Here is a 27419-nt window from a genome sequence, read left to right as displayed (position 1 = left end):
TCACGCCTGTAATCCCAGCACTTTGGGAAGCCGAGGCGGGCGGATCACGAGGTCAGGAGATCGAGACCATCCTGGCTAACACGGTGAAACCCCGTCTCTACTAAAAATACAAAAAATTAGCCGGGTGTGGTAGCGGGCACCTGTAGTCCCAGCTACTTGGGAGGCTGAGGCAGGAGAATGGCGTGAACCCGGGAGGCGGAGCTTGCAGTGAGCCGAGATGGCGCCACTGCACTCCAGCCTGGGCAACAGAGCGAGACTCCGTCTCAAAAAAAAAAAAAAAAAAAAAAAATACCATCAGGGACACTGAGCACTGTAAACTGTAATTAGTGCTCAGGGATTTTTCCCCTCAGAAGTCTTGGATGTCCTACCTCAGGCCAATTTATTACTGGCTTTGAGAAAAATAGTTAGACTGTATTCTTCCGAGGTGGTAAGCGTCACCAAGCTTTCTGCGATTAAAATGAACCTGGTCTGTCGGGTGAGGTGGCTCATGCCTGTAATCATTCCCAGCACTTTGAGAGGCGGAGGTGGGCAGGTCACGTGAGGCTAGGAGTTCGAGGCCAGCCTGGCCAACATGGTGAAACCTGTCTCTACTAAAAATACAAAAATTAGCTGGGCGTGGTGGCAGACTCTTGTAATCCCAGCTACTAGGGAGGCTGAGGCAGGAGAATCACTTGAACCTGGGAGGTGGAGGTTGCAGTGGGCCGAGTACAGTGCGCCACTGTACTCTAGCCCAGGCAACAGACCTAGACTCCCTCTCAAAAAAAAAAAAAAAAAAAAAAAAAAGGCCAGGTGCGGTGGCTCACGCCCTTAATTCCAGCACTTCAGGAGGCAGATGGATCACCTGAGGTTGGGAGTTCGAGACCAGCCTGACCAACATGGAGCAACCACGTCTCTACTAAAAATACGAAATTAGCTGCGCGTGGTGGTGCGTGGCTGTAATCCCAGCTACTCAGGAGGCTGAGGCAGGAGAATTGCTTGAATTTGAGAGGCGGAGGTTGCAGTGAGCTGAGATCTTGCCACCGCACTCCAGCCTGGGCAAGAAGAGCGAAACTCCATCTCAAAAAAAAAAAAAGAACCTGTTCAGCTGGAATTCTGATGATTCCTGGTAACTGGCATCCTCAAAATTTCACCGAGATCTGATATTTTCTATTCTCTGAGGTATAGGGGCTGTGTTATACTGAGCTATGGGACTGAATTCTTTTGTCTATGGGAAGGAGTCAATTTGTTTAAGCTTGTGATTTGGGTTCTCCCTAGAGAATTTTGCAGTTGTTGCAGTTTACCCAAATCTTTGAAAAAATTGGTTTTGTACTTTTTTGTTTTAAACATCCTTTAAATTAAAAATGCTTAATTCTCTGGTTATCACTCTAATAGCCACTTTTAAGGTCTGCCTTAGGCAAATTGACCAAGTAGAGTTTTATTGTTAAAATAGACTCTAACTAAAGTTTTCATAGTTCATAGCAGTGTATAATATAAATGGCTGTCTTTTCTTCTCCACTTGTTTTTATTTTGTTTTATGCTGTTGTATTAATTTTTTTTTATTAGTAGCCTTGAGTCCTTTTGAGATAAAAGAGTTGGGGTGGGTATAAACAGATAAATGACACGTCAGAATAATTTGTTTGATTTCTTGAATCTCCCATTTTTTCTTTCTTTTTTTCTTTTTCTTTTTTTTTCTTTTGAGACAGGGTCTTGCTCTGTTGCCCAGGCTGGAGTGCAGTGGTGTGATCACAGCTCACTGTACTCCAGCCTCTCACAGCCACTGCACCAGGCCCCAAGAGCTTTTAACTTCATGCTGTATTCCTTCCCAATAGTTATTTCGCTTCTAAAGAGGTCAGAGGATGGGACCATTTTAAAAGGTTCCTGATACATACTGTCAGTTATATTTGAGTATTTGGTTATTTTAATTAAAACAGAGATGTCATTTTAAAAATTATAAAAGCAATGCATATTCATGATAAACAATTCAAGTACTGCAGAATGTATGAGACTTAAGTCCCCTTTCCTTCCCCTACCTCCCCCCTCCTCAGTCTGTAGAGCTAACTCTTAATACTTTCTCACATAAGTGTCTAGAAATTTTTATTGCTGTGTAAGCACATGCATAAATATATGTTATAATGTATGTTTTTCTTCCTGAATAAATGGGATCATAGTAAAGTTAAATCCTTTTCCCCTGCCTAGTGTCCTTTTCTAACTCTGCAGATAACCATTATTAGTAGTTTATTATATATGCTTATAGAAATTGCAAATGCTGGCTGGGTGCTGTGGCTCATGCCTGTAATCCCAGCACTTTGGGAGGCTGAGACAGGCAGATCACGAGGTCAGGAGTTCAAGAGCAGCCTGGCCAACATAGTGAAACCCCATCTCTATTAAAAATACAAAAATTAGCTGGGTGTGGTGGCGGGTGCCTGTAGTCCCAGCTACTTGGGATGCTGAGGCAGAATGGCTTGAACCCCTGGAGGTGGAGGTTGCAGTTTGCTGAGATTGCGCCATTGTACTCTGTCCTGGGCGACACAGCAAGACTGTCTCAAAAAAAAAAAAAAAAAAAAGAAGAAATTGCAAATGCTGTAAAAGTGCATGTGCGTGTATGTATATATATCCTTCATAAATGAGATCATACCATTTATATTATTCTATGATTTGGTTTATTTTCACTTTTTTTTTTTTTTTTTGAGACAGAGTCTTGCTCTGTCACTCAGGCTGGAGTACAGTGATGCAAACTTGGCTCACTGAAACCTCTGACTCCCAGGTTCAAGTGATTCTCATGCCTCAGCCTCCCAAGTAGCCTGGATTACGGGCACACACCACCATGCCTAGCTAATTTTTGTATTTTTAGTAGAGACGGGGTTTCACCATGTTGGCCAGGCTGGCCTGGAACTCCTGACCTCAGGTGACCCGCCCACCTCCGCCTCCCAAAATGTTGGGATTACAGGTGTGAGCCACTGTGCCAGGCCCGAAATGCCTATTTTAAATGCCATTAGTATATTTAAAAAAAAAGTTATTAGGCCAGGTGCAGTGGCTCACGCCTGTAATCCCAGCACTTTGGGAGGCTGAAGCAGGCAGATCACCTGAGGTCACGAGTTCGAGACCAGCCTGGCCAACACGGCAAAACCCCATCTCTGTGAAAAATACAAAAATTAGCCAGCCGTGATGGTGTGTGCCTGTAATCCCAGCTACCCGGGAGGCTGAATCAGGAGAATCCCTTGAACCCCGGAGACGGAGGTTGCAGTGAGCTCAGATTGTGCCACTACACTCTAGCCTGGGTGACAGAGCAAGACTCTGTCTCAAAAAAAAAAAAAAAAATGTTGTTAGCCCTATCTTATTTTTGAAGTTCCACCTGATTGATGCAGTACTCTGTTGGATTCAAAGGAAGTCAAAGTACTACTTTTTGTGTTTATTATTGACCGGGAAATGTGGATTTGGAAATGTGATGAATGAGAAGAACAGTTTTTGGTGTGCACACATGCATGCACATATGTGTGTGTGTGAGAGAGAGACAGAGAGAGAGCTATGCAGCTGTTTTCTGCCCTAGTGGCTTGCCCATACATACCTGGGAGTGGTTTCTCTATTCCTCCTGCTGACAGGATCACTTTTGATGTCATTCAGCCACACTGTTGTGCAGGCCCCAGGCCCCTTTTTTTCTAGCTGGCTTATGTCCCATTTCTTGACTCCTTTGCTCAGGGTCCACAATAGCAACAGCCCAGATACCTACAAGCAGCGCATACCTGCACTGAGCAGATAAACCTGCTTGCAGGAAATAAATGCTCAGGTCTCTATCGAATAGAGGAATTAATATTCAATACTGGAATTGAATATTGAGTTAACTATGGTTGTCTGTACTTACAGTTCTGAATAGTTGGGAGAACCATTTCATAGTTGAATTTGTATAGGTTTTATGTAATTTTGTCTTAATTTTTTTTTTTAAGACAGGGTCTGGCTCTGTGTCCCCTAGGCACCATCTAGACTCATTGCAACCTCTGCCTCCTGGGCCCAAGCCATCATCCCACCGCAGCCTCTCAAGTAGCTAGGACTAACAGGCACACGCCACCACACCTGGCTAATTTTTGTATTTTTTGTAGAGACAGGGTTTTTGCCTGTTGCCCAGGCTGGTCTTGAACTCCTGAGCTTGAGGTATCTGTCTGCCTTGGCCTCCCAAAGTGATGGGATTACCAGGAGTGATCCACTGTGCCCAGCCTTTATGTACCTTCTTTAACCTCTGAGCTCTAAATGTAGAAACTCTTGACGTTCCAATTCTGTCACATCGGGAAGCATTTATGAAGTATTTATAAAGTTATGTTTTGTTGGGGTGTGATGTCACTGATGACAGAAGTGTGTCCCTTTTGAGTCAGGAAATTCATTGCTAGCCCTTGATGACTGGGGCCAGCCCTATAGATACAATAGAAAGAGCCACACTGTTGTCAAGGCAACTAAAGTTCAAGATCATCTGGTCTCCAGGCAACCTTTTCCAGACTTGCCTCAAATGCTTTCCCAAGCTTTCTTGGGGTAGGTGGGCCCTTCCCTGCCTTTCTCTTCTAGCTTTGGGATCTCAGGAGGAGGAGAACCCAAGAAACTGTGGAATGATGTGAGGTTTGGAATTTTTGAACCTGCTAATAAGTATATGGATCAGGTGGTATGTAAAGAAAAATCAGGGCCGGGCGCAGTGGCTCACGCCTGTAATCCCAACATTTTTGCAGGCTGAGGCAGGTGGATCACTTGAGGTCAGGAGTTTGAGACCAGCCTGGCCAACATGGTGAAACCCTGTCTCTATTAAAAATACAAAAAATCAGCTGGGCATGGTGGCACGCGCCTGTAGTCCCAGCTACTTGGGAGGCGGAGATTGCAGTGAGCCAAGATCACGCCACTGCACCCAGCCTGGGTGATAGAGCGAGACTCTGTCTCAAAAAAAAAAAAAAAAGGAAAAGCTGATTAGATTCTAAAAGAGGAGTTTCTCCCTACTCTTGCATCTAAAACATGCTAACGTTGGATTTTTTTTTTTTTTTTTTAACAGTTACTGTTATTTTCCCACACTCTTGATTCTTGTAAAGCCTCCTGAAACTTGTCAAGGTCTGATTCATTAGTCAGGCTGTGACTTGTGAACGAGTGAGATGCTTGTTCTTACCTCATATGCAAGAGTGTCAGTGGCCAGCATCTGAAGGCTGGCTTGCCTGGAGTCTCTTTCTTATGTCATAAGTGGTTACCTGTTACCTTGGACAACATAAGCCAACAGTTCATTTGTCTAGGGCAGGGAATGATGGCATATGTACTGTGGCAAATCAGGCTGCAGATTGTTTCACACCAAGCCTTGAGATACTTACAAATGCCCCCATTTCTCTGAAGAACTTTCAGAGAAGTGAACCAGGTCACTTGGGTTGAAACAGTAAGAACCTTACGCTGTATTGGATCCTAATTTCCCATTTACTGGGAGTTGGCATCCTCTGTGAATTCAACCCAGCTGTTGCACTCATGCCAGATTTATATCATTTGTCCTTAGGAAAACCAATACTTAGGCTAGCCTTTCAGTTACCTGTTTAAAAGAAAAACTCTGCGGCTAAAAATTGCTATTCTTGGCTGGGCACAGTGGCTCACGCCTATAATCCCAGCAGTTTGGAAGGCTGAGGCAGGAGAATGGCTTGAGTCCAGGAGACCAGCCTGGGCAACATAGTAAGACCCTGTCTCATTTTAAAAAATGAAAATAATAAAAAATAATTTGCTATTCTTTTTTTTTTTTTAAATAATAATTGCTATTCTTTGGTGTTCTCTATACCTTCTGTAGTGGCTTCTATATTCCTTAGCTGTGTCTCCTCTTTTTTTCTTTCTGTATCATCTCATTAGATACTTCAGCATCTTGGCCAGGTGCGGTGGCTCACGCCTGTAACCCCAGCACCTTGGGAGGCTGAGTTGGGTGGATCACTTGAGGTCAGGAGTTCGAGACCAGCCTGACCAACATGGTGAAACCCTGTCTCTACTAAAAAAAAAAAAATTATCCATACATTGTGGTAGGGGCCCGTAATCCCAGCTACTTGGGAGGCTGGTGCAGGAGAATCGCTTGAACCAGGAGGCAGAGGTTGCAGTGAGCCAAGATCATGCCACTGCACTCCAACCTGGGTGACGGAGCGAGACTGTCTCAATAACAAAACAAAAACAAACAAACAAAAATTATTGGGGCATGGTGGCATTTGCCTGTGATCCCAGCTACTTGGGAGGCTGAGGGAAGAGGATTGCTTGGGCTTAGGAGGGTGATGCTGCAGTGAGCTGTGAACATGCCACTGCACTCCAGCCTGGGTCACTGAGTGAGACTCTGTCTCAATAAAAAAGCTGCCTTTTCCCATCAGGTGTCTTCAGAGTGTTCTGTACATATCTTTGAGAAACAGCCTGGAGAGTTATTGATAATTTGGCCAGTTAGGGAGTAGTTAGCCTTAAATTTGAGAGGACCTCTGGGGATGGGATGAAAGAAGCCTAGGGCAAGGGCAGGGCCAGGAGAGGAGGAGGGCAAGGTTGGTTTGTGAAGGGGAGTTGGTGCTGGGCACTTATTCCAGCAGTTCTAGCTGAGTACCTGTTAGGTCCTTTGCTAGGATTTGGAGGAGGATGCAAAGGTAGGAAGCTGCTTTCACAGTATTTATGATCTAGTCCTGGAGATAAAATACAGCAAACCCATAGCTTTGCATCATTGCCTAATTATTTAATACCGAGTTACAGTATTGAGTACAATGGGCTGTCAGAGAAGGCAGAGAGTGATGTGGTTGGAGAGGCTTCATTGGAAGAGGTGAGACCACAAACATCCCTGAAGAATGGGTCTCAGGTAGAAGCAGGAGAGAGAACGCTGTATAGGCTGAAATGTATAGGCCGACTTATAATTCCACTTGCCCTGCTTCTCATTTATTCTCAGCATTTCTATATATTCATTCATATCCTCTTTCAAGATCTTCATGTTTTCAATTTTTTTTTTTTTTGAGACGGAGTCTCACCCTGTCACCCAGGCTGGAGTGCAATGGCGTGATCTTGGCTCACTGTAACGTCCGCCTCCCGGGTTCAAATGATTCTCCTGCCTCAGTCTCCTGAGTAGCTGGGATTACAGGCGCCCGCCACCACGCCCAGCTAATTTTTGTATTTTTAGTAGAGATGGGGTTTCACCATGCTGGACAGGCTGGTCTCGAACTCCTGACCTCGTGATCCACCCACCTTGGCCTCCCAAAATGCTGGGATTACAGGCATGAGCCACCGTGCCTGGCCCCATGTTTTAACTCTTTATCAAAGTACCCCCAAAAAGTATAGGACTTATGCATTATTTGTCAGACCATTTTTTTTGTTGTTTGAAGTCCAGGGTTGCCGCTTGGTCAGCCGTGGCTGACGGATGGTGTTCTATGGCCTCTGCAGTAGCCCTGCAGGACCTGAGTGAGAATGTCCTTGGGTGAGTTGTGTACCTTCAGTTTGACCCACTCCTTGCCACTATTCTGGTCCTACACCTGACCTGACTCAACATTGATATTACGTGCCTTTGTAGGGACTTGAGTTTGCAACTCCTGGTGTTAAGACTGCATTGGACTTTTTAATGATCGCCATTCTAACTGGTGTGAGATGGTATCTCATTGTGGTTTTGATTTGCATTTCTCTGATGGCCAGGAAACAACAGATACTGGAGAGGATGTGGAGAAATAGGAACACTTTTACACTGTTGGTGGGACTGTAAACTAGTTCAACCAGCGTGGCGATTCCTCAAGAATCTAGAACTAGAAATACCATTTGACCCAGCCATCCCATTACTGGGTATATACCCAAAGGATTATAAATCATGCTGCTACAAAGACACATGCACACGTATGTTTATTGCGGCACTATTCACAATAGCAAAGACTTGGAACCAACCCAAATGTCCATCAATGATAGACTGGATTAAGAAAATGTGGCACATATACACCATGGAATACTATGCAGCCATAAAAAAGGATGAGTTCATGTCCTTTGTAGGGACATGGATGAAGCTGGAAACCATCATTCTCAGCAAACTATTGCAAGGACAAAAAACCAAACACCGCATGTTCTCACTTATAGGTGGGAATTGAACAATGAGAACACTTGGACACAGGAAGGGGGGGAACATCACACATCGAGGCCTGTGGTGGGGTGGGGGGGAGGGGGGAAGGATAGCATTAGGAGATACACCTAATGTAAATGACGAGTTAATGGGTGCAGCACACCAACGTGGCACATGTATACGTATGTAACAAACCTGCACGTTGTGCTCATGTACTCTAGAACTTAAAATATAATTAAAAAAAAAAAAAGACTGCATTGGAAACAGGAAAAGGAACCTTGCATAAGAAGTTCTAATTGTTCAGCTGAGCATGGTGGCTTACGTCTGTAATCCCAGCACTTTGTGAGGCCGAGGCGGGTGGATCACCTGAGGCCTGGAGTTCAAGACCAGCCTGGCCAAAATGGTGAAACCTCATTTCTACTAAAAATACAAAAAATTAGCCGGGTGTGGTGGTGGGTGCCTGTAATCCTAGCTACTTGGGAGGCTGAGGCAGGGGAATCTCTTGAACCCAGGGGGCAGAGGTTGTAGTGAGCCAAGATCGTGCCAGTGCACTCCAGCCTGGGCAACAAGAGCAAAACTCCATCTCAAAAAAAAAAAAAGTTCTAATTGTTCTTCGTTTAAAACCTAACCTGCCCTTTTTCCAGATCTCCTTTAAAATTCTCTTCTGCCCGTTTATGGAAGGAAGTAACATATTGTCCTTTTGTTAAGGCTTCTTTCCCTTATTTTCCCTTGGATAATGCCTGGCTTCTTCACACTGGGGCTGGACTGAAAGTTAGAAGCTTGGAGCAGCATGTGCTTAGTGATTTCTAAAGTGTGGAAAGCGCCTTTCTGTAATTAGCCTGAGGAATACTTTCAATATCCAGTAATAAGTGAAGATAGGATTAGGAATGGAAGCTACATTTCAACCTGAAATTTTCAGTTTGCTTTGTGGATATGTTATCTTCTTGGCATTTATTTTGGCCATTTGCTGTCCTTTGGGTAATGTCTGTTTTGGGGGTTGGTAGAGTTGATAAATGACTGGCAAACACTATAATAATTCTTCTTCTTTTTTTTTTTTCTGGTGACATTTTTCCTGCTTTGAGTTTGTCTATGGTCTAGTAAACTCCAAGTAAGTGCCTGTGGTTATAGCTGGGATAGAAGCCCGGGAAACTCACAGATCACATCTGGGCTCTGCCTGTGGCTTAAAGAGGAGCCATCCTCGTGAGTCTTGGTTTCTTGGTTCCAGCCTCACATAGATGAAATGGGCATTCATCATTATTTGTGGTGGTCTTGAATAAAAGACTGAGTGGTGTGAGGTGTTTATAACCTGCAAGGCAATTAGGGGAGAACAGTAACTTTGCTTATCTTGACCTCTTGGGGAATGGGCTGGTTCTTTCCAAGGTTTCCCATGGTAAGGACTGATGTGAGTGGGGTCAGGAAGGTCAAGGGTAATGAGCAGAAGTTACTGGATTTCTTCTGTGCCTGTGTTGCTTGTACGGTGCCTGCAGTGGGGGGCCAAAGTGCGGAGCTCTCTACTGAGTGCCATCATATGTCACCTTCCCTCCTTGGCAGGCACTAAGTGACCGCTTCAGCGGTGAGATCCCCGATGACCAGATGGCGCACAGCTCCTTTTTTCCAGATGAGTATTTCACCTGCTCCTCCTTGTGCCTCAGCTGTGGGTAAGTAAGGCCGCTCCCCCACCTCCCACCCCATACCTTGAGAATAGAGCCTTTGAGTGGTGCTTCCTAGACTTTGGTGTGGATGCAGATCCCCTGGGATCTTGCTAAATTACAGGTTCTGATTTAAATTATCCAAAATGGTACACTCCCATGTTCCCACAAGATCCTGGTGGTCTAGGAACCACACTTCTGAGGTAGCAAGAGCTTGAAGGACACATGGTGGTGAAGAATCTCCTGGAAATTCCAGCTGGTATAGATGTGAAATTGACCAGCTTCTGGTTTGGGAGGTTTTTAGGGCAGAAGACTTTGGGTTGCCTGCTTTTCTGTGTTTTTTCTACCAGAGTTTCCAGTCACTTATTCATAGTATTCTAAGTATTCAAGTGATATTTGAGTGCCCCCCCTGTGCAAAACACTATGGGTCGGTATTGATTCCAGGTGATTCCTTTCACTATTAGGGGAAATGTTTAGAGCACATTAGAATTTTCTGGGGAGCTTTCAAAATTATTTATGCCAGGGCACCACCTTCTGGGATTCTAATTAACGGGTCGTGTGTAGGACCTCTGCATTGCTATGTTTAAGATGCTCCTCAGAGGATTCTAAAGTGCAGCCCGAGCTGAGGACATTGAGTTGGGACAGTGCTTCCGAAACTTCAATTGTGTATGCATCACCTTGAGATTCTGTTAGAATGCAGATTCGGAATCAGGTCTGGGTGAAACCTGAGATTCTGCATTTCTGTCAAGCTCCCGGGCAATGGCTGTGCCTTTGGTTTGTGGACCGCACTTTGTTATGGTTAGAGCAGTGATCCGCAAATTTTAGCATGCATCAGAAAAACCTGAAGGGCAGGATCACTGGGTGCCCCCTCCACAGTTTCTAATTCAGTAGGTCTGAGATAGGGCCTGGGAGTTTGCATTTTAATAAATTTAATAAATTCTCGGCCGGGCACGGTGGCTTACGCCTGTAATCCCAGCACTTGGGGAGGCCGAGGCAGGTGGATCACGAGGTCAGCAGATCGAGACTATGGTGAAACCCTGTCTCTACTAAAAATACAAAAAAATTAGCCTGGCACGGTGGCCGGCGCCTGTAGTCCCAGCTACTCGGGAGGCTGAGGCAGGAGAATGGCGTGAACCCGGGAGGCGGAGCCCGCAGTGAGCTGAGATTGCGCCACTGCACTCCAGCCTGGGCGACAGAGTGAGACTCTTTCTCAAAATAAATAAATAAATAAATAAATAAATAAATAAATAAATAAATAAATTAATTAATTCTCAGGTGATGCTGATGTTCATGGGGACCACCCTTTGAGGATCACTGGATTAGTTTGAACTGTTGATGGCTGTTAAATCAGTGTGGTGACTTGTCTGATGGGCCCCAGGGGATTTAAATGCAGTGTGTCGAGGTCAGATGGCAGCCTCCATGTCCTGTAGACAATCCCTTCCACTCTTCACTACCAAATTGTCTTTGCTTCTACCAGAACCACCCTGTCCTGCACACTTCTCCTTTTACAGGAGTAGACCTGACCTACATCTGTTATGAATGGTCATTTCACTTTGAGTCCTGTAGGCCACCTGCTGCATGCAGAACCACCTCTGACCTTGCCGAGAAAAAGACCTGCTTCTTGGATTATACAGCCTGGGCAAGGGAGAACTAAGGATTATCTTGGAGAGTTCAGTTTGGAAAGGGGAGAGGGATGTTAGTTGACAGTGTGACTTACCTTCCTTTTTGCATGCCCCATGAGCCCAGCACAAGAGACTTAAGCACTGTTGGATCATTGCTTTCCCATTGTGAGCCTCCCCAGGATTTCTGGAACTTTCCCTTTTATCATAGTGAAATTCTAAAGTCCTGATCTCTGTTTTTGCATTATCAGGATGGCAGAGCTCATTGTTCATTTGGAAGGCTTGTTCAGCCTAAGCCTCCCCTTAATGCATTGCCAAATTTTGGGGTTGGTTTTCATTTTGCATCTTGGCAGCCTGTTCTGGGTAAACGTTCCATTTCATCTTGTTTGGATTTTTTGAGTCTTCTGAGAGACGTTCAGGTTTCCTCTCTGGTCAAGTTGGTATCTTATGGCTCCTCCATTTCTGCTGAGGGGACAGGTAGTTTTTCCAACAAGGGATTTCTGGGTGTATTTTTTTTTTTTTTTTTAAAGACAGAGTCTCGCTGTTGCCCAGGCTGGAGTATAGCGGTGTGATCTTGGCTTACTGCAACCTCCGCCTCCTGGATTCAAGTGATTCTCCTGCCTCAGCCTCCTGAGTAGCTGGGATTACAGGCATGAGCCACTATGCCTGGCTAATTTTTTTGTATTTTTAGTAGAGACGGGGTTTCTCCATGTTGGTCAGGCTGGTCTTGAACTCACTGCAACCTCCACCTCCTGGGTTCAAGCGATTCTCCTGCCTCAGCCTCCCGAGTACCTGGGACTATGGGTGCCCGCCACCATGCCCGGCTAAGTTTTGTATTTTTGGTAGAGTCGATGTTTCACCATGTTGGCTAGGCTGGTCTTGAACTTCTGACCTGAAGTGATCTGCCCCCGTCGGCCTCCCAAAGTACTGGGATTACAGACGTGAGCCACCGTGCCCGGCTGAGATTTCTTTTTCCCCTGTGTCCTCATACAAGGATAGTAGTCGCTGTGCCTCTGTAGTGCTGTTGATTGCAAGTGTAACAAAGAGGCATGTGGGTTTCCGGCTACCCTTTCTGTGTTCAGCATCTGAGGCCCAGTTAGTAATCAAGGTCTGGTCGTGGCCTTGTGCCTGGCTCAGGGTCAGGCTGTTCTGTGTAAGTGGCACTGGCTCCTTTAGCCGTCTCATTGTCAGTCTTTGGGCTTCATTCAGGGTTGGATGTAAGAAAAGCATGAATCATGGGAAGGAAGGAGTGCCTCATGAAGCCAAGAGCCGCTGCAGATACTCCCACCAGTATGACAACCGAGTGTATACCTGCAAGGTGAGTCCTCCGAGCTCCTCCCTGTGTCAGCAGCGGGCTTGCTGACCACTCTCTCTTTGGCAAGACTATCTTGGGGCCATTTTTTGCTGCATGCTGAAGTATTTGATATTCAAATTGAATATTTCTGGAACTTCTCTCCAGCTCTAACAAAAAGCACTCACATGTCTTCATTGGTGAGGGTCCCTTTGTTTACTGTTTTAAGCTTATTTTCTTCTCATTCTGTTGAGCTTGTATGTAAGGGTAATTTATATCGAACATTCATTCTTTTTTTTTTTTTTTTTTTTTTTTTTTTTTGAGACAGAGTCTTGCTCTGTCAGCCAGGCTGGAGTGCAGTGGCACAATCTTGGCTTACTGCAACCTCCACCTCCTGGGCTGCAGCAATTCTCCTGCCTGAGCCTCCTGAGTAGCTGGGATTACAGATGTGTGCCACCATGCCCAGCTAATTTTTGTATTTTTAGTAGAGACAGGGTTTCACCATGTTGGCCAGGCTGATCTCGAACTCCTGAGATCGGGCAGATTGCTTGAGCCCAGGAGTTCACAACCAGCCTGGGCTGGTAAAACCCCGTGTCTATTAAAAAAACAAACAAAAAACAAACAATAAGCTAGCAGAGTGTTTCCTGTTTCAGGCCTGCTATGAGAGAGGCGAGGAAGTCAGTGTAGTGCCCAAAACATCTGCTTCCACTGACTCCCCCTGGATGGGTCTCGCAAAATATGCCTGGTCTGGGTGAGTTTAAACAACATGGCTCAAGGTTTTCTGGTGCGTTTGTCTCCCCAGGCACCTGGCTGGGTAACAGTATTGATTTGCTTTCCTTGTAGGTATGTGATCGAATGTCCTAACTGTGGCGTGGTCTATCGTAGTCGGCAGTACTGGTTTGGAAACCAAGATCCTGTGGATACGGTGGTGCGGACAGAGATTGTGCATGTGTGGCCTGGAGTAAGAACTGTTGGATTTCTCTGTTTTTCTTTATCTTGTGTCGTTCAGTTTTTCATGTGTATAGAAAACTGGAACCTGCTTAAAATTAAGGTTAACCATGAATTTCAGAATGTTGGCGGTTTAGAAAGGCATGATCTGGAGAGCTTTTTTGTTCTCTAGACCAAAATTGTTTTTATTTTTTCTTGCATATATATTAGAAGTACAACTTTAAATGAAATAAACTAAAAATCTATAGTTTTACTCCTTTGGCAAATAAAACGTTTTTGCATGTTCTACTCATTCATTTTCTATATGTGTATGTTTTTCTAGATGCAAATATTTACATGCCTTTTTCCTGCTTTTTTTCCTCACAATGCTATTTTATTTAGTTTTATTTCCACCTTTTTAAAAAGATCATTAAAATGCTAGTCACCATCTTCGTGTAAGAAAGCCATTTTTTTGTTATAGGAAATTTTCTTGAAGTATATTCTAAGAAGTGGGATTCCTATAGACGCTTAATCTTTTTTTTTTTGAGACGGAGTTTCGCTCTTGTTCCCCAGGCTGAAGTGCAATGGTGAGATCTTGGCTCTCTTGGCTCACTGCAATCTCCACCTCCCGGGTTCAAGTGATTCTCCTGCCTCAGCTTCCCGAGTAGCTGGGATTACAGGCACGACCGCCACGCCCGGCTAATTTTGTATTTTCAGTAAAGACAGGGTTTCTCCATGTTGGTCAGGCTGGTTTCAAACTCCCGACCTCAGGTGACCTGCCCACCTCGGCCTCCCAAAGGGCTGGGATTATGGGCGTGAGCCACCGCGCCCAGTTTAATGATTATTTTTTAACTTTTGAATTCCAGATGTCAGAAATACAAATCTGTTTGTGAGGCAGTGATATCATGCTTTCATTCTGCATTAAATCACTGTTCACACTTAGCATTGTCCATAAATCACAACAAATCCAAAACCTTTTCCTTTCATGGAAAAAAGGCAAGTGATTATCCCTGAGGGACTTATTTTACTCTGTGTCATTGTCCTCGCTGGGTGATTCCTAAAGCCACCGTTCAGCCTAGGAGTTCTACCTGCAGGTCCTCTCCTGAGCTTTCCTGGATCCTATAGGTACCATAAAACTGAAGATTTCCTTATTTTTTAAACTTTTTTTTTTTTTTTTTGAGATGGAGTCTTGCTCTGTCACCCAGGCTGGAGTGCAGTGGTGTGATCTCGGCTAACTGCAACCTCCACCTCCTGGGTTCAAGCAATTCTCCTGCCTCAGCCTCCCGAGTAGCTGGGATTACAGGCGCGTGCTACCACACCCAGCTAATTTTTGTATTTTTAGTAGAGACAGGGTTTCACCATGTTGGCCAGGATGGTCTCGATCTCTTGACCTTGTGATCCACCTACCTCGGCCTCCCAAAATGCTGGGATTACAGGCGTGAGCCATCGCACCCGGCCGATTTCCTTATTTTTCTCCTCCTTTTTCTAATTTTCTGGCCCACTGAAATCTGTTATTATATAGTAGTCTCATTATGGGAGCCCACCTCCTTGGCATAATGGTTTATTCCATTATGTCCCAAGGATTTAACGTGGCCTTATAGCGAGAAAGTAAAGGTGGTAAGATAGTTTATGTTCCAGGAAAACAGGACTGCAGTAATTTACTCTCAGGTCACATTCTTCACAGTCCTCGAAATTAGGAGGATACAGATGCCTTCCCTGCTGTTTGTTTGCTCCTTCCTTCCTTCCTTCCTTCATTCATTATTCAGCATACATTGTTGTGTACCTTGTGCCCAGCACTGAGCTAGTTACTTTACAAAATACAAAAATGACAAAGAGTTATTGTCAGGGAGTTCAGAGTTTAATAGGGAAGTCAGATACCTAAATGGATATTGTACTTAGACACACAGAAATAGGATTCCTAGAGATGTCCAAGTATTAGAAGAACTGAGAGGAAAGGTTCTTAACTCAGCCTGCGGTGCGGGGCCCCCTGGAGGAGGTGTCATCTCCTGTATTATATGGGCTTAGTAAGTCCTGAATTGAACAGCTACACATCAAGTCTTATGGTCACTTTGAAGAGAATAAAGCCAGAGGGATTCCTGGTGTGTCTCCGTTCTTCCCTGCCAGGGAGTTAGTGGTTCTGAGTTGGCCACGGTGAGTGTGCAACTCACCAAACATCCCTCTTCCTCCTTCCTTTCACTCCCTTCTCAGAGCATGATGGAAGCCTGCGTTTTCATTTCAGACTGATGGGTTTCTGAAGGACAACAACAATGCTGCCCAGCGCCTGTTGGACGGGATGAACTTCATGGCTCAGTCGGTGTCCGAGCTTAGCCTTGGACCCACCAAGGCTGTGACTTCCTGGCTGACAGACCAGATCGCCCCTGCCTACTGGAGGCCCAACTCCCAGATTCTGGTATGGTGTGCCAGGATGCCCCTCCACTCCTGGCACAGCCCATCCTACTTAATGCCGCTTTGCCCTGTGCTAAGCTTGTTCTGTGAGGGAGACGCAAACATTTTCTGCCAGTGCAGTGAGCTCTGTGAGTACCGGCAAGGGGAGGAGTCGTTGAGGCAGCCAGTTTCTCTTTGCCCATTGATTTCCCTTCGTGTTTTCCTGCAAGTATTTTCTGTTTGGTGAGTTTTAGTTTCCTTGTGTGTGACGACCAGTGAATATTGCTTAGATATGTGAGGACCCAGATAAGAATCTGGAGGAAAAGGGGTCTTTAGAGGTTATTTAGGGTCATCCTCAGCTTGATCCATTAACGCTACAGCACCCAGAGCAAGAGAGCACCCAGCTTCAACCCAGACACTTAGTGAAAGGAAACTCACTGTCCACCAGGCTTCCTTTCCATTCTCAGATAACGCGTTACTAGAAAGCTCTTGTCCTTGTTGAGCTAACGCCACCTGCCTTAGTTTCTGCTTGCTCCGGGGTCTTGTTGACTTTCTCAGCTGAGCAGACATGTACCATACCTACCTGCCTCTCTGTTTTGTTTTGGGCTTGGAACAGAGCTGCAACAAGTGTGCGACGTCCTTTAAAGATAACGACACTAAGCATCACTGCCGAGCCTGTGGGGAGGGCTTCTGTGACAGCTGTTCATCAAAGACTCGGCCAGTGCCTGAGCGGGGCTGGGGCCCTGCGCCAGTGCGGGTCTGTGACAACTGCTACGAAGCCAGGAACGTCCAGTTAGGTAACGTGGGACCTGGGAGCTGCAGGGGTGGAGGGGAGAACCTCCCACATTGGCCCTGGGTGCTAAGAACTGGATATCCAGATGCCCTAATCCACATCTCCCTTGTGAGAGTACTTCTGGTCTTGGCCAGTCAGCCTCTAAGCTCCTTGTTAACAGCGTCCTATGGGTGCTGTTCCTCAGGGGCTCGAACCTGTCCTGCATTCTTAGCTGCAGAGTTGCTTCTGGGGGAAGGGAATGCGCACATAGCAACTGAATTCTGAAAAGGCTGCAGTGTTTACCAGAGATGGCTTAGACCAGTCTTCTCCTTTGAGAAGGTTCTAGTTTTCGCTCCTAGAACCTTTCTGCCTTACTTTAAAAGAAGGGTTATAAAGGAGCCCCAGAAGGTTGCAGCTAAAGGACTAACAGATGTCATCTAATTTCAGAGTCTGGGCTGACCTGACCCACAGCACAGACCCTTGCAGTAGTTGCAGGACAGCACAGTGGTGTCTGGGATCAGAATCCAGAAGCGTTCTGCTATTGGTCCCTGAGTTTTCCATTTGGGAGAGGACTTAGAGGTGACAGCATTTCCTTTATTACTGTCTACAGCTGTTACCGAGGCACAAGTGGACGATGAAGGTGGAACGCTCATTGCTCGGAAGGTGGGCGAGGCCGTGCAGAACACTCTGGGAGCCGTGGTGACAGCCATTGACATACCACTAGGTGGGCCTGGCAGTGCTTCTCTTGGGGGTAGTGGATGCGGGTTGAGGGGTTTCAGGTGCCCTGGGCTGTCACTTTGTAAAGGCTTGCCAACCTAGATTGAGATGGGTGGTAAAGGAATCAATTACACAATGCCACACATTTGCTTGCTTCTGCTGAATGCCTTAGTAGTTTCATGTTTATTGCTGGAAGCCATTCTCTTACAGCATCTAGTGCTGTGTAACGAGCTACCTTAAAATGTAAAGGCTTAAAACAGCCATCTTTGATGTCTTTGCAGGTCTAGAAGTCAGGAAGGGTAATTATTCAGCTCCAAGTGGCATTGGCTCTAGTTACTACCTGATATTCCAGGGTGGTAGCTGGAGTGGTCTCAAGGGTCCAAGCTGACCTCACTTACAAGCTGGGTGCCTTGGCAGGGACAGTTAGGAGGCTGTGTGTAGCAGAGCCTCACTCGGTCTTTGTATTCTCCAGGCCTCTTCAGTGGTTTCTTTGGCACTTCTTAAATGATGTCAGGGTTCCAGGAGTTAATGTTCCAAGAGACAGGAAGTGGATGCTGCCCATCTCTTTTTTTTTGTTTGTTTGTTTGTTTGTTTTTTTGAGATGGAGTCTTACTCTGTCACCCAGGCTGGAGTACAGTGGTGCGATCTTGGCTCACTGCAACCTCCGCCTTCCAGGTTCAGGCAATTCTCCTACCTCAGCCTCCCAAGCAGCTAGGATTACAGGCACGTGCCACCATGCCCAGCTAATTTTTGTATTTTTAGTAGAGACGGGGTTTCACCATGTTGACCAGGCTGGTCCCGAACTCCTGAGCTCAGGTGATCCACCGGCCTTGGCCTCCCAAAGTGCTGGGATTACAGGCGTGAGCCACTGTGCCTGGCTGAAGCTGCCCATCTCTTGAGGCCTAGGACTGCAGACAGGCACTTCTGCTGTCATCTCCTGGAGTCTGCTGCCGTCACAGGTTTGTCTAGATTCAAGGGAGGGGGCAGGAGTGTCAAAGATGGAAAGTGGGTGAAAGATTCTATGGCTGTCTTTAGTCTGTCACACCAGCCAAACTGTTAGTAGTTTAAGATTTAAAATAGCTGGCCGGGCACCGTGGCTCACGCCTATAATACCAGCACTTTGGGAGGCCAAGGCAGGTGGATCACGAAGTCAAGAGATCAGTCTTGGCCAACACACGGTGAAAACCCGTCTCTACTGAAAATACAAAAAAATTAGCCAGGCGTGGTGGCGGGCACCTGTAGTCCCAGCTACTAGGGAGGCTGAGGCAGGAGAATGGCATGAACCCGGGAGGTGGAGCTTGCAGTGAGGCGAGATCGCACCACTGCACTCCAGCCTGGGCAACAGAGCGAGACTCTGTCTCAAAAAAAAAAAAAAAAGAAGATTTAAAATAGCTACCCAGCCCTGGATGTGAGGGGTATTTGTATTTAGGATGGCGAGGGGGAGAGGGAGGGAAATCAACCAGTGCTTGGCAGGCTTACGCAAGGCTGGCCAGGCCTGGGGCAGCGTGGCACATTGTAGGGGAGCGAGCAAAAGTGAGTAGTGATGAAAATGGCCTGGAGCAGATTTCCTCATTGCAGCTCACAAAGTGAGTAGATGATGTAGGAATTGCTGGATTTGCCCAAGCTTAAATCTCAGGTTGCATCTGTCCCCAGGGGTACCTGGGAGAGGCAAGAACTGTCCTTGGCACAGAAGGCAGAGCATAGCCTGCTGGCTGTGCTCACCAAGTGCTCCCATTCTGAGCGCCCACAGGGTGTTGAGTACCAGGCCAGTGTGTCAGGCATGTTCTTTCTTCTCATCCTCATCACAGTTCTTGAAGGTGGGTTGTTAAAGATGAGTAAGCCCCTGAGAGGTTAGCTAACCTTTCTTTTTTTTTTGAGACTGACTCTCGCTATTGTCCAGGCTGGAGTGCAGTGGTGTGATCTTGGCTTACTGCAACCTCCACCTCCCAGGTTTAAGCGATTCTCATGCCTCAGGCTTCCAAGTAGCTGGGGTTATACCACCACGCCCGGCTAATTTTTGTATTTTTAGTAGAGACAGGGTTTCACCATGTTGGCCAGGCTGGTCTCGAACTCCTGACCTTGAGTGGTCCTCCTGCCTCTGCCTCCCAAAGTGCTGGGATTATAGGTGTGAGCCACCATGCCCAGCCTTAGCTAACCTTTCTTAATCCAGCAGCTGCTGATTAACCTGATCTCAGTAGAATTGGGATTTGAGTGTCTGACTCCAGAGCCCAGACTTCTTTATATTTCCTCCAGGGGTTCTTAACACGGCTGCCCCTTCAGTTTACAAGGAGGGCTTCATAGATACATAAAGATCAAGGAGCTGGGTGTGGGGGTGCATGCCTATAATCCTAGCTACTTGGGAGACTCAGGCAGGAGGCTCCCTTGAGTCCCAGTAATTTGAGACCAGCCTGGGCAACAGAGTGAGACCCTGTCACAAAAGAGAAAGAAAGGGCGTGGTGGCTCATGCCTATAATGTTATGCCTACAATCCCAGCACTTTGGGAAGCCGAGGTGGGCAGATCACTTGAGACTAGGAGTTCGAGACCAGCCCGGACAACATGGTGAAACCCTGTCTCTACAAAAATTAGCCAGGTGTGGTGGTGCACACCTGTAGTCCCAGCTACTTGGGAGGCTGAGGTGGGAGGATTGTTTGAACCCAGGAGGCAGAGGTTGTGGTGAGCCGAAATCGTGATACTGCACTCCAACCTGGGCGACAGAATGAGACTCTGACTCCAAAAAATCTTAAAAAATGTGAAAAAGGAAAAGGGAAAATCAGTGCCTATGCGACAGCCCCAAAGACTCTGATCTGGATGTGAGTGGCAGAGCCTGGGCTTCTGCATTTTTAAAAAGCTCTGTCAGCAATTCTGTGTGCAGTTGGGATTATAAGCCAGTAAGCATCCGAGGATGGCCTCTTGCTAGTTGGGCCTCGGGGTATTGGGCTTTGGGTGCCCTGACCATTGTTCCCTGCCTTAGGTCTGGTAAAGGACGCGGCCAGGCCTGCGTACTGGGTGCCTGACCACGAAATCCTCCACTGCCACAACTGCCGGAAGGAGTTCAGCATCAAGCTCTCCAAGCACCACTGCCGGGCCTGCGGACAGGGCTTCTGTGATGAGTGCTCCCATGACCGCCGGGCTGTTCCTTCTCGTGGCTGGGACCATCCCGTCCGAGTCTGCTTCAACTGCAATAAAAAGCCCGGTGACCTTTAACCCCAGCCCCCTCTCCGAGTCCTTCACAATTCCTTAGGTTCTCAGGGTTAGAAACAGTCTTGCGAGGTAGGCCCTCCTCCCAGTCACCTGCTGTGGTGTGTGTCCTCTCCTCTCCGCATCCAGGGCCACTTTCCCTCAGTGGGGGTGAGCCTGGCGGCAGGCCCGAAGGTGTGGACCCCTCAGGGCAGGGGACCTTGCAACTTATCGCAAAGGGGAATGAACCTGAATCCGTTGCATTTATTTCAGTTAAAAATAATGAATATATATGTGTATATCTCTCTCTCATATATACATATGAAAGGCACTCGGGGCGTATCGAGGCTGCTGCTGGCTGTGAAGACTTCGCACAGTCTCCTCCGCACAGGGTGAGGTGGCAGTGGCAGCACGTCTTCCTCATGAGCCGAGCCAGGTCCATGGCCACCACGTGGCTGGCCCCTTCCTCTGCTGCTCTTGGAGCCTTGGAAGCCTCTCCTGTCCTTGGCTCTTCCCTCCATGCCTGTCAGCTGCCTGGGGAGTGAGCCTCCCTGGTCCTTCCTGCCTGAAACAGCCTGAAGGGAATTCTCCCTAGGTCTCCTGGGAGTCGAGTCCCAATTCTTGGCTTAAGCCTGTTTTAGTCAGAGACCACCCAACTTAGCGTGCAGGTCACCGGAGTGGGTGGAGGGTCAGAGGTCGGGTCTTCGGCCCTGAGAAGTAGAAATGCAGGGGCCGTGCTGTCCCTGGTCCCCCAGGGAACAGCAAGGAAGGAACTGAGCCTTCTCCAGCAGGGCTTCCTGTCCCGATGCTTCTGTCTCCACTCGGCTTTCCCAAAAGGCGGCACCCAGCTCCTCAATCGAAGCATCTGCCTCCCACCCCTCGGCCCCCTCAAGCCCACCATCTGCTTCTGAGTGTCGCACTAGGATTTTCATTGCTTATTTTAAAGTGTCTTAATCCTTTGTTCCCAGACACACAACCCCTCTAGCTCTCGGAGGGGCGATCATGAGAAACCTTCCAGGGAAACTGAGCACAGGATGAACTGTTAGTTGTTTTTAAAAGTCTATATAAATATTTCAACAGATCGTAAAGAAAAAATTTATCTCTTTGGTCCTTGCAAGAGAAGTCAAAGGAACTTTTGTTTCTCCTCAAGAGCCTGGACATCTCTGTCTGTCATGACTGGAAAGGGCCCGTTGTGCTGAAATCCTATCATCATGGTGGATTTGATCTTCAGTGGCCAAACACGAATTAAAGTATAATTCTTAACTGAACTGGTGGGTGGGTTGAGCTTTAGGGAAGTATATGGCGGTCATTCCTGGTGCGCCTATCGGTGTGACATGAGCCCTGGAGTGTGTCGTCCCTCTCAGCCCTGCTCCTCCTGCCTCCTGGGGTCCAGTGACTGGGACCCTACTCTAGAACTGTGTACCATCCAATTCGCCATCATAAAGGAATCTTCCTGCATCTCGACTGTGCTGGCTCTTTCCTCTCATTCCATCAGTGCCTTCCAGCCACCATCTGTCTCCAGCTGATGGTGGCTTTCCAAGCAGAGGCCAAGTAAGGGGCATGTTTCAAGGGCGGTAATATTTTACCTGCAAATACTGCAGTCTTTTACTCTGACAAATAAGAACTTTTTCAAAACCATAGCCGGCTGGGCGTGGTGGCTCATGCCTGTAATCTCAGCACTTTGGGAGGCCAAGGCCGGAGGGGGATCACTTTAGGTTGGGAGTTCGAGACCAGCCTGACCAACATGTAGAAACCCCGTCTCTACTAAAAATACAAAAAATTAGTTGGGTGTGGTGGCGCAATCTTGTCATCCCAGCTACTTGGGAGGTTGAGGCAAGAGAATTGCTTGAACCCGGGAGGTGGAGGTTGTGCTGAGCTGAGATTGCACCATTGTTGCACTGTAGCCTGGGCAACAAGAGTGAAACTCTGTTTAAAAAAAAAAAAAAAATGGCCAGGCGCGGTGGCTCACGCCTGTAATCCCAGTACTTTGGGAGGCCAAGGCGGGAAGATCATGAGGTCAGGAGATCAAGACCATCCTGGCTACCATGGTGAAACCCCATCTCTACTAAAAATACAAAAAAAATTAGCCGGGCGTGGTGGTGGGCACCTGTAGTCCCAGCTACTCAGGAGGCTGAGGCAGGAGAATGGCTTGAACCCAGGAGGTGGAGTTTGCAGTGAGCCGAGATTGCGCCACTGCACTCTAGCCTGGGTGACAGAGTGAGACCCCGTCTCAAAACAAACAAACAAACAAACAAAAAAACCCCACCATAGCCAAGTACCCCCAAACCATGATCCTGTGCAGTGGATGTCAGTCTCATGACCACAGCCTGTTGTCCCCAGCCCTTCGCTAGATACCATGCCCCACCCAGATCAGTGTGCTGACTGGGACCAGAGCTTTGAGCTGGTCATGAATATTCCTTTATGTAGGGAAGGCAATAGCTGACAGTCATGGAATTCTCTCTAGTGACTAGAGGGCCCCCACATTCTTACCACTTATCCTGTACTTAGAGGTGTTCCTCAGACCTTTCTGCAGCCGGGGTCACCCGGCAGACCCCCTTTCTGCAGCCGTGGCATTGGCTGAGCAAGGCTCAGCGGTGGCGGTTTCACAGCTTGGGTTCTCTGGGTTACACTCTGGCAGCTGTCGGGTCAGGGTCTGTTGAGGAATCCTCTCGCACAGTAGAAGAGATGGGGTATTAGTCCTGATTTTCACTCCCTAGGTTTAAAATACGTAGTCCTGGCTAGGCGTGGTCACTCATACCTGTGATCCCAGCACTTTGGGAGGCCAAGGTGGGCGGATCACTTAAGCCCAGGAGTTTGAGACCAGCCTGGGCAACGTGGTGAGTGAACCCTGTCCCTACCAAGAAAACCAACCCCTCCCCCCAAAAAAGCTGGGCGCCTGTAATTCCAGCTACCGGGAGGCTGAGGTAGGAGGATTGCTTGAGCCTCAGAGATGTCACTGTACTCCAGCCTGGGTGACAGAGTGAGAACCTGTCTCAACAACAAAAACAAACCTATTGAACTATTATACATCTATACTTCAGCTTGATTTTCTCAAACTGAATACTACGTAACCAATCAGCACCCAAATTAAGAAACAGAACATGGCTGTCCTGCAAGAACTCCTGGTCCCTCCCCCCACCAGGAGTAACCACTATCCGACATGTAGTAACAGATTTTCGTCCCCTCTCCTTTTCAGGGGGAGCCATGGAAAGGGTTTTAATCACTTTCTGGTTTAAAAGGCTTGCTCATAGGTAGAGACAGTTGTTGAACATATCCCTGAGGGCTGTGACTGGAGATTGCAACTTGTGGCTGAGAATGACGCGGTCTGTGATCAATGAGACCAAGTGGGATCCTTACACATCCCTTGGGTTTAACTGCTGATTTATTTGGGAACCGGAAAAGCAAAGAGAACCAATATTTAGGTGCCTGTTAACGTGCCTTGCACTATGCTAGGAGCTTTACATGGTTAATTGTCACAACCACACTGGAAGGTCCGCAGTAGGGTTCTTGTCTTACAGCCTAAGACACTGGCTCCTACAGGATCAGAAGCCCAGCATTGCCCGGCACACTCCAAGCTGGCCTGAGTCCAGGCAGCCCCAGACCCCTTCTATCACCATCGCACTGTAGAGTTTCTCCCCCTGTTTTCCTTCCCCTTCACAGCTTGTTAATTCTTTTGCATTTCCAGGTAAGGTCAATATCTTCTTAGGAGGAAAGGTAAGAATCAAGGTGACTGCTAGTGTGGTCAGCAAGCTTAGCTTTGATCATTTCCATTGGCCTTGAAGATTCTCATGGCTGAGGGCAATCACACTTTTTCACTAAAAGCAGCTTTATTTTTCACTAAAAAGACTCACTGGCTGAGAGATTAAACAAGTTGATCTAGCCTATAACATGAGCTAAGCTTCCAATTTTTTTTTTTTTTTTGAATTTTATAGAGATGGGGTTTTGCCATGTTGCCCAGGCTGGTCTTGAACTCTTGGCTCAAGCAATCTGCTGCCTTGGCCTCCCAAAGTGCAGGGGGTACAGGTGTGAGCCATTGTTCCTGGCCAGCTTCCAATTGTTAAAAAAAATTGATTCAATGTTAATTTTGCAGCTATGTTTGCATTTTCCATTTCAGACTTACCATGATTAGGGAGAGACAGTGGAACCCACAATCGTAGTCTGTAATTCTTCTCATCATGAATAGGATGTTTTAGTTACTGTACAAAATCTGAGCACATTTTAACTCCTAAATCTTAAATTGCACCTGGTATAATTTTTTTTTTAATGTACTTTGGAAATCGTCACATACTCGTGAACACTAAAGCCCATAGGGTATGGGGTTTTCTGGGATTAGATAATCTGTAATTTAGTGACAGGCTCATGTGAACAGAGCCATCTTTGAAACTACCATTTGTAGACAGCGAGCCATGCAGTCCTCCAGTACATGATGCTGTACTGAGGGACTTAACCACTGCCACGTTTTCAACAGCCACCTTAAACTGGCCATACCCTTAACTCTAGCCAGAATCTCTCTGACGCTCTGGCTTTATCCTTAGATAACTCCATTTCATATCCAAAGATAGTGGAACTCAGCTGGGCATGGTGGCTCGTGCCTATAATCCCAGCACTCTGGGAGGCTGAGGCGGGAGGTTCACTTGAGGCCAGGAGTTTGAGACCAGCCTGGGCAACATAGCAAGACCCTGTCTCTGTGAAAACAAACACAAAAACACTGCAACACAAGCAGAGCCTGAATGGATTTCCCAGCCACCATGGCACCTCGGTTCTGGCTGCCCTGGACTACCAGGAGCATTTGTGTCTGCGTGCCTTTGCTCAGATTATGGTGTCTACAGAGAATATCCTTTTTGGTATTGCAGCAGCTGCCTTTATTCACGCGAAGCCAAGAGTGCAAGCAGGCAGGCAGGTAGTAGGAGCAAGCAGGGAGACCTGAGCAAAGATACGATAGCCAGGCCCAGGCCAGAAGGTACTGTGGGAGGCAGAGGCAGTGAGTCTTAAGGAAAGAGGAAGAAAAGGGGAAAATGTTGAACTGAACCCAAGAAGATCTTAAATGTCCAGAGGAACAGTAAGAAGCCCATTCTCCCCAACACAAGGGGCCTAATAAGAGTCTTGAACTTCAGTAGGAGCCTCAGCTGGCTCTGCTACACTTATCAGCAGAAGACCTTGGGCAAATCACTCTCTTGAGATTCAGTTTTTTCTTCTGTAAAGTGTGGAAATTTACTTTCTAGGGTTGTAGTAATGAAAGCAAAATCATGCTGGCAAAACAAAAAATTGTTCATCTATCATAACAAGTGTCTAGTTGCATCAAATGCTGGGGAAACGAAACTTCCTGAGGTGTCTTTTACGCTGAGCCTTAAAAGTTGGACTTTTCTGGATGAAAAGGAGTTGGGCAGCTTGAGCAGAGGCCCAGATGTGTGGGGGACAGGCTTGAAACGTGGTGTCCCGAGAGCACCAGGTGTGAGGCAGAGATGGCGCAAGAGGATGGAGAGGCATATGAGGTCAGATCACAAAAGGCCACACACTCTATCTGAGTCACAGGAAGCCATCAAAAGCAAAGATCTAGAAAGATCATTCCTGTGGCAGTACAGTGGATGGACTGGAGAGGACAGACTTAGAGTAGGACCAGAGCCTTTTAGCAACACGTACAAATGGAGAAATCAAGAAGAAATGGAGTTTAGCCTGAAATTGTTTTTGGAGATGGTTGGAAGATTTAGACCAGGACAGATCTAGGGTTGACAGGCAATAGAGAGGGGCTGATTCAGTGTTCGATGAAGGATGCCTGCTGTGAGGAACCTTTCTGGGGACACCCAGGAGGCTGGCAGTGCCCTCCAAACCATGTTGGGCCAGTTGGATTCTCGGGTGTCCACAGCAACATGGGACATGAGGCAGTATTTATTTGTGGGCTTTTTTTTTTTTTGAGACGGAGTCTTACTCTGTCGCTCAGGCTGGAGTGCAGTGGTGCAATCTCGGCTCACTGCAGCCTCCGCCTCCAGGGTTCAAGGGATTCTCCTGCCTCAGCCTTCTGAGTAGCTGGGATTACAGGCGTGCACCACCACGCTTGGTTAGTTTTTGTATTTTCAGTAGACACGGGGTTTCACCACATTGGCCAGGCTGGTCTTGAACTCCCAACCTCAAGTGATCCCAAAGTGTTGGGATTACAGGTGTGAGCCACTGCACCCGGCCAGTATTTGTGGACATTTTTGATAACCAGTGTGTGCCATTCATTGTTGTCTCTAGAAGGCTATAAGTAAGCAAACACTGAGCTAGTCAGCAAGGGGTCTATCACAGCTCAGTGCTGCCGTCACAATCACCTGCTCATTTGCTACCTTTCATTGTCACCTGGGGAGTAGGGCAAAATGGAAAATCCTTCAAGGCCAGGCACGGTGGCTCACACTTGTAATCCCAGTGCTTGGGATGCCAAGGCATCCCTTTGAGGCCAGGAGTTCTAGACCAGCCTGAGCAACATGGCAAAATCCTGTCTCTACAAAAAAAAGAAACCCCAAAACCTCAAAAATCAGACTGATGTGGTGGCACACGCCTGTAATCTCAGCTACTCAGGAGGCTGAGGTGGGAGAATTGCTTGAGCCTGGGGGGGTCAAGGCTGCAGTGAGCCAAGATCACACCTGGGCGACAGAGTGAAACCTTGTCTAAAAAAAAAAAAAAGAAAAATGCTCAGAGATTGTAACATATTAATTTTTATGACATCAGTGGTAACAAGCAAACTGGCCAAAATGCTTAATCAACTTCTTGGCCAAGTTTAACCCCTTTTCATGCAACCTAGACCACATTTTAGGTGCAGTGAGTGTTAACCAAGAACAAACTGCTGCTCTTTCCCCCCCGCCACTGAGTCACGGAGGCAGA

General features: G+C 47.0%; 1 protein-coding gene across 7 annotated transcripts in view, besides 1 other annotated feature; it reads left to right on the top strand.

Moving 5' to 3' along the window:
- Window positions 1-22028, top strand: part of ZFYVE1 (zinc finger FYVE-type containing 1) — a 57662-nt gene extending 35634 nt beyond the window's left edge. For 2 of the 7 annotated variants that reach the window (XM_047431482.1, XM_017021373.2), the window contains 8 exons: window positions 9578-9684; window positions 12504-12612; window positions 13239-13336; window positions 13429-13546; window positions 15752-15922; window positions 16514-16694; window positions 17280-17393; window positions 20359-22028. In XM_047431482.1, coding sequence (XP_047287438.1) covers window positions 9620-9684; window positions 12504-12612; window positions 13239-13336; window positions 13429-13546; window positions 15752-15922; window positions 16514-16694; window positions 17280-17393; window positions 20359-20591 — 1089 coding nt within the window. In that variant the 5' untranslated portion in view covers window positions 9578-9619 and the 3' untranslated portion in view covers window positions 20592-22028. Of the gene's footprint in view, window positions 1-4516; window positions 4582-9577; window positions 9685-12503; window positions 12613-13238; window positions 13337-13428; window positions 13547-15751; window positions 15923-16513; window positions 16695-17279; window positions 17394-20358 lie in introns of those variants that run through there. The other 5 variants (NM_001281735.1, NM_178441.2, NM_001281734.2 and 2 more) reach the window with 5 other exon arrangements.
- Window positions 20529-21030: an enhancer, noted in NCBI's record as "H3K4me1 hESC enhancer chr14:73437151-73437652 (GRCh37/hg19 assembly coordinates)". NCBI's record gives its function as "activates a minimal SCP1, AML or CMV promoter by ChIP-STARR-seq in naive H9 embryonic stem cells {active_cell/tissue: H9 hESC(naive)}" and the evidence as "EXISTENCE:reporter gene assay evidence [ECO:0000049][PMID:30033119]".

The sequence above is a fragment of the Homo sapiens genome, chromosome 14, assembly GCF_000001405.40.
Source record: "Homo sapiens chromosome 14, GRCh38.p14 Primary Assembly".
NCBI classification, from domain to species: Eukaryota; Metazoa; Chordata; class Mammalia; order Primates; family Hominidae; genus Homo; species Homo sapiens.
Note: the sequence above shows the minus strand (reverse complement) of the source record. Positions and strands in the feature narration are given on the sequence as shown.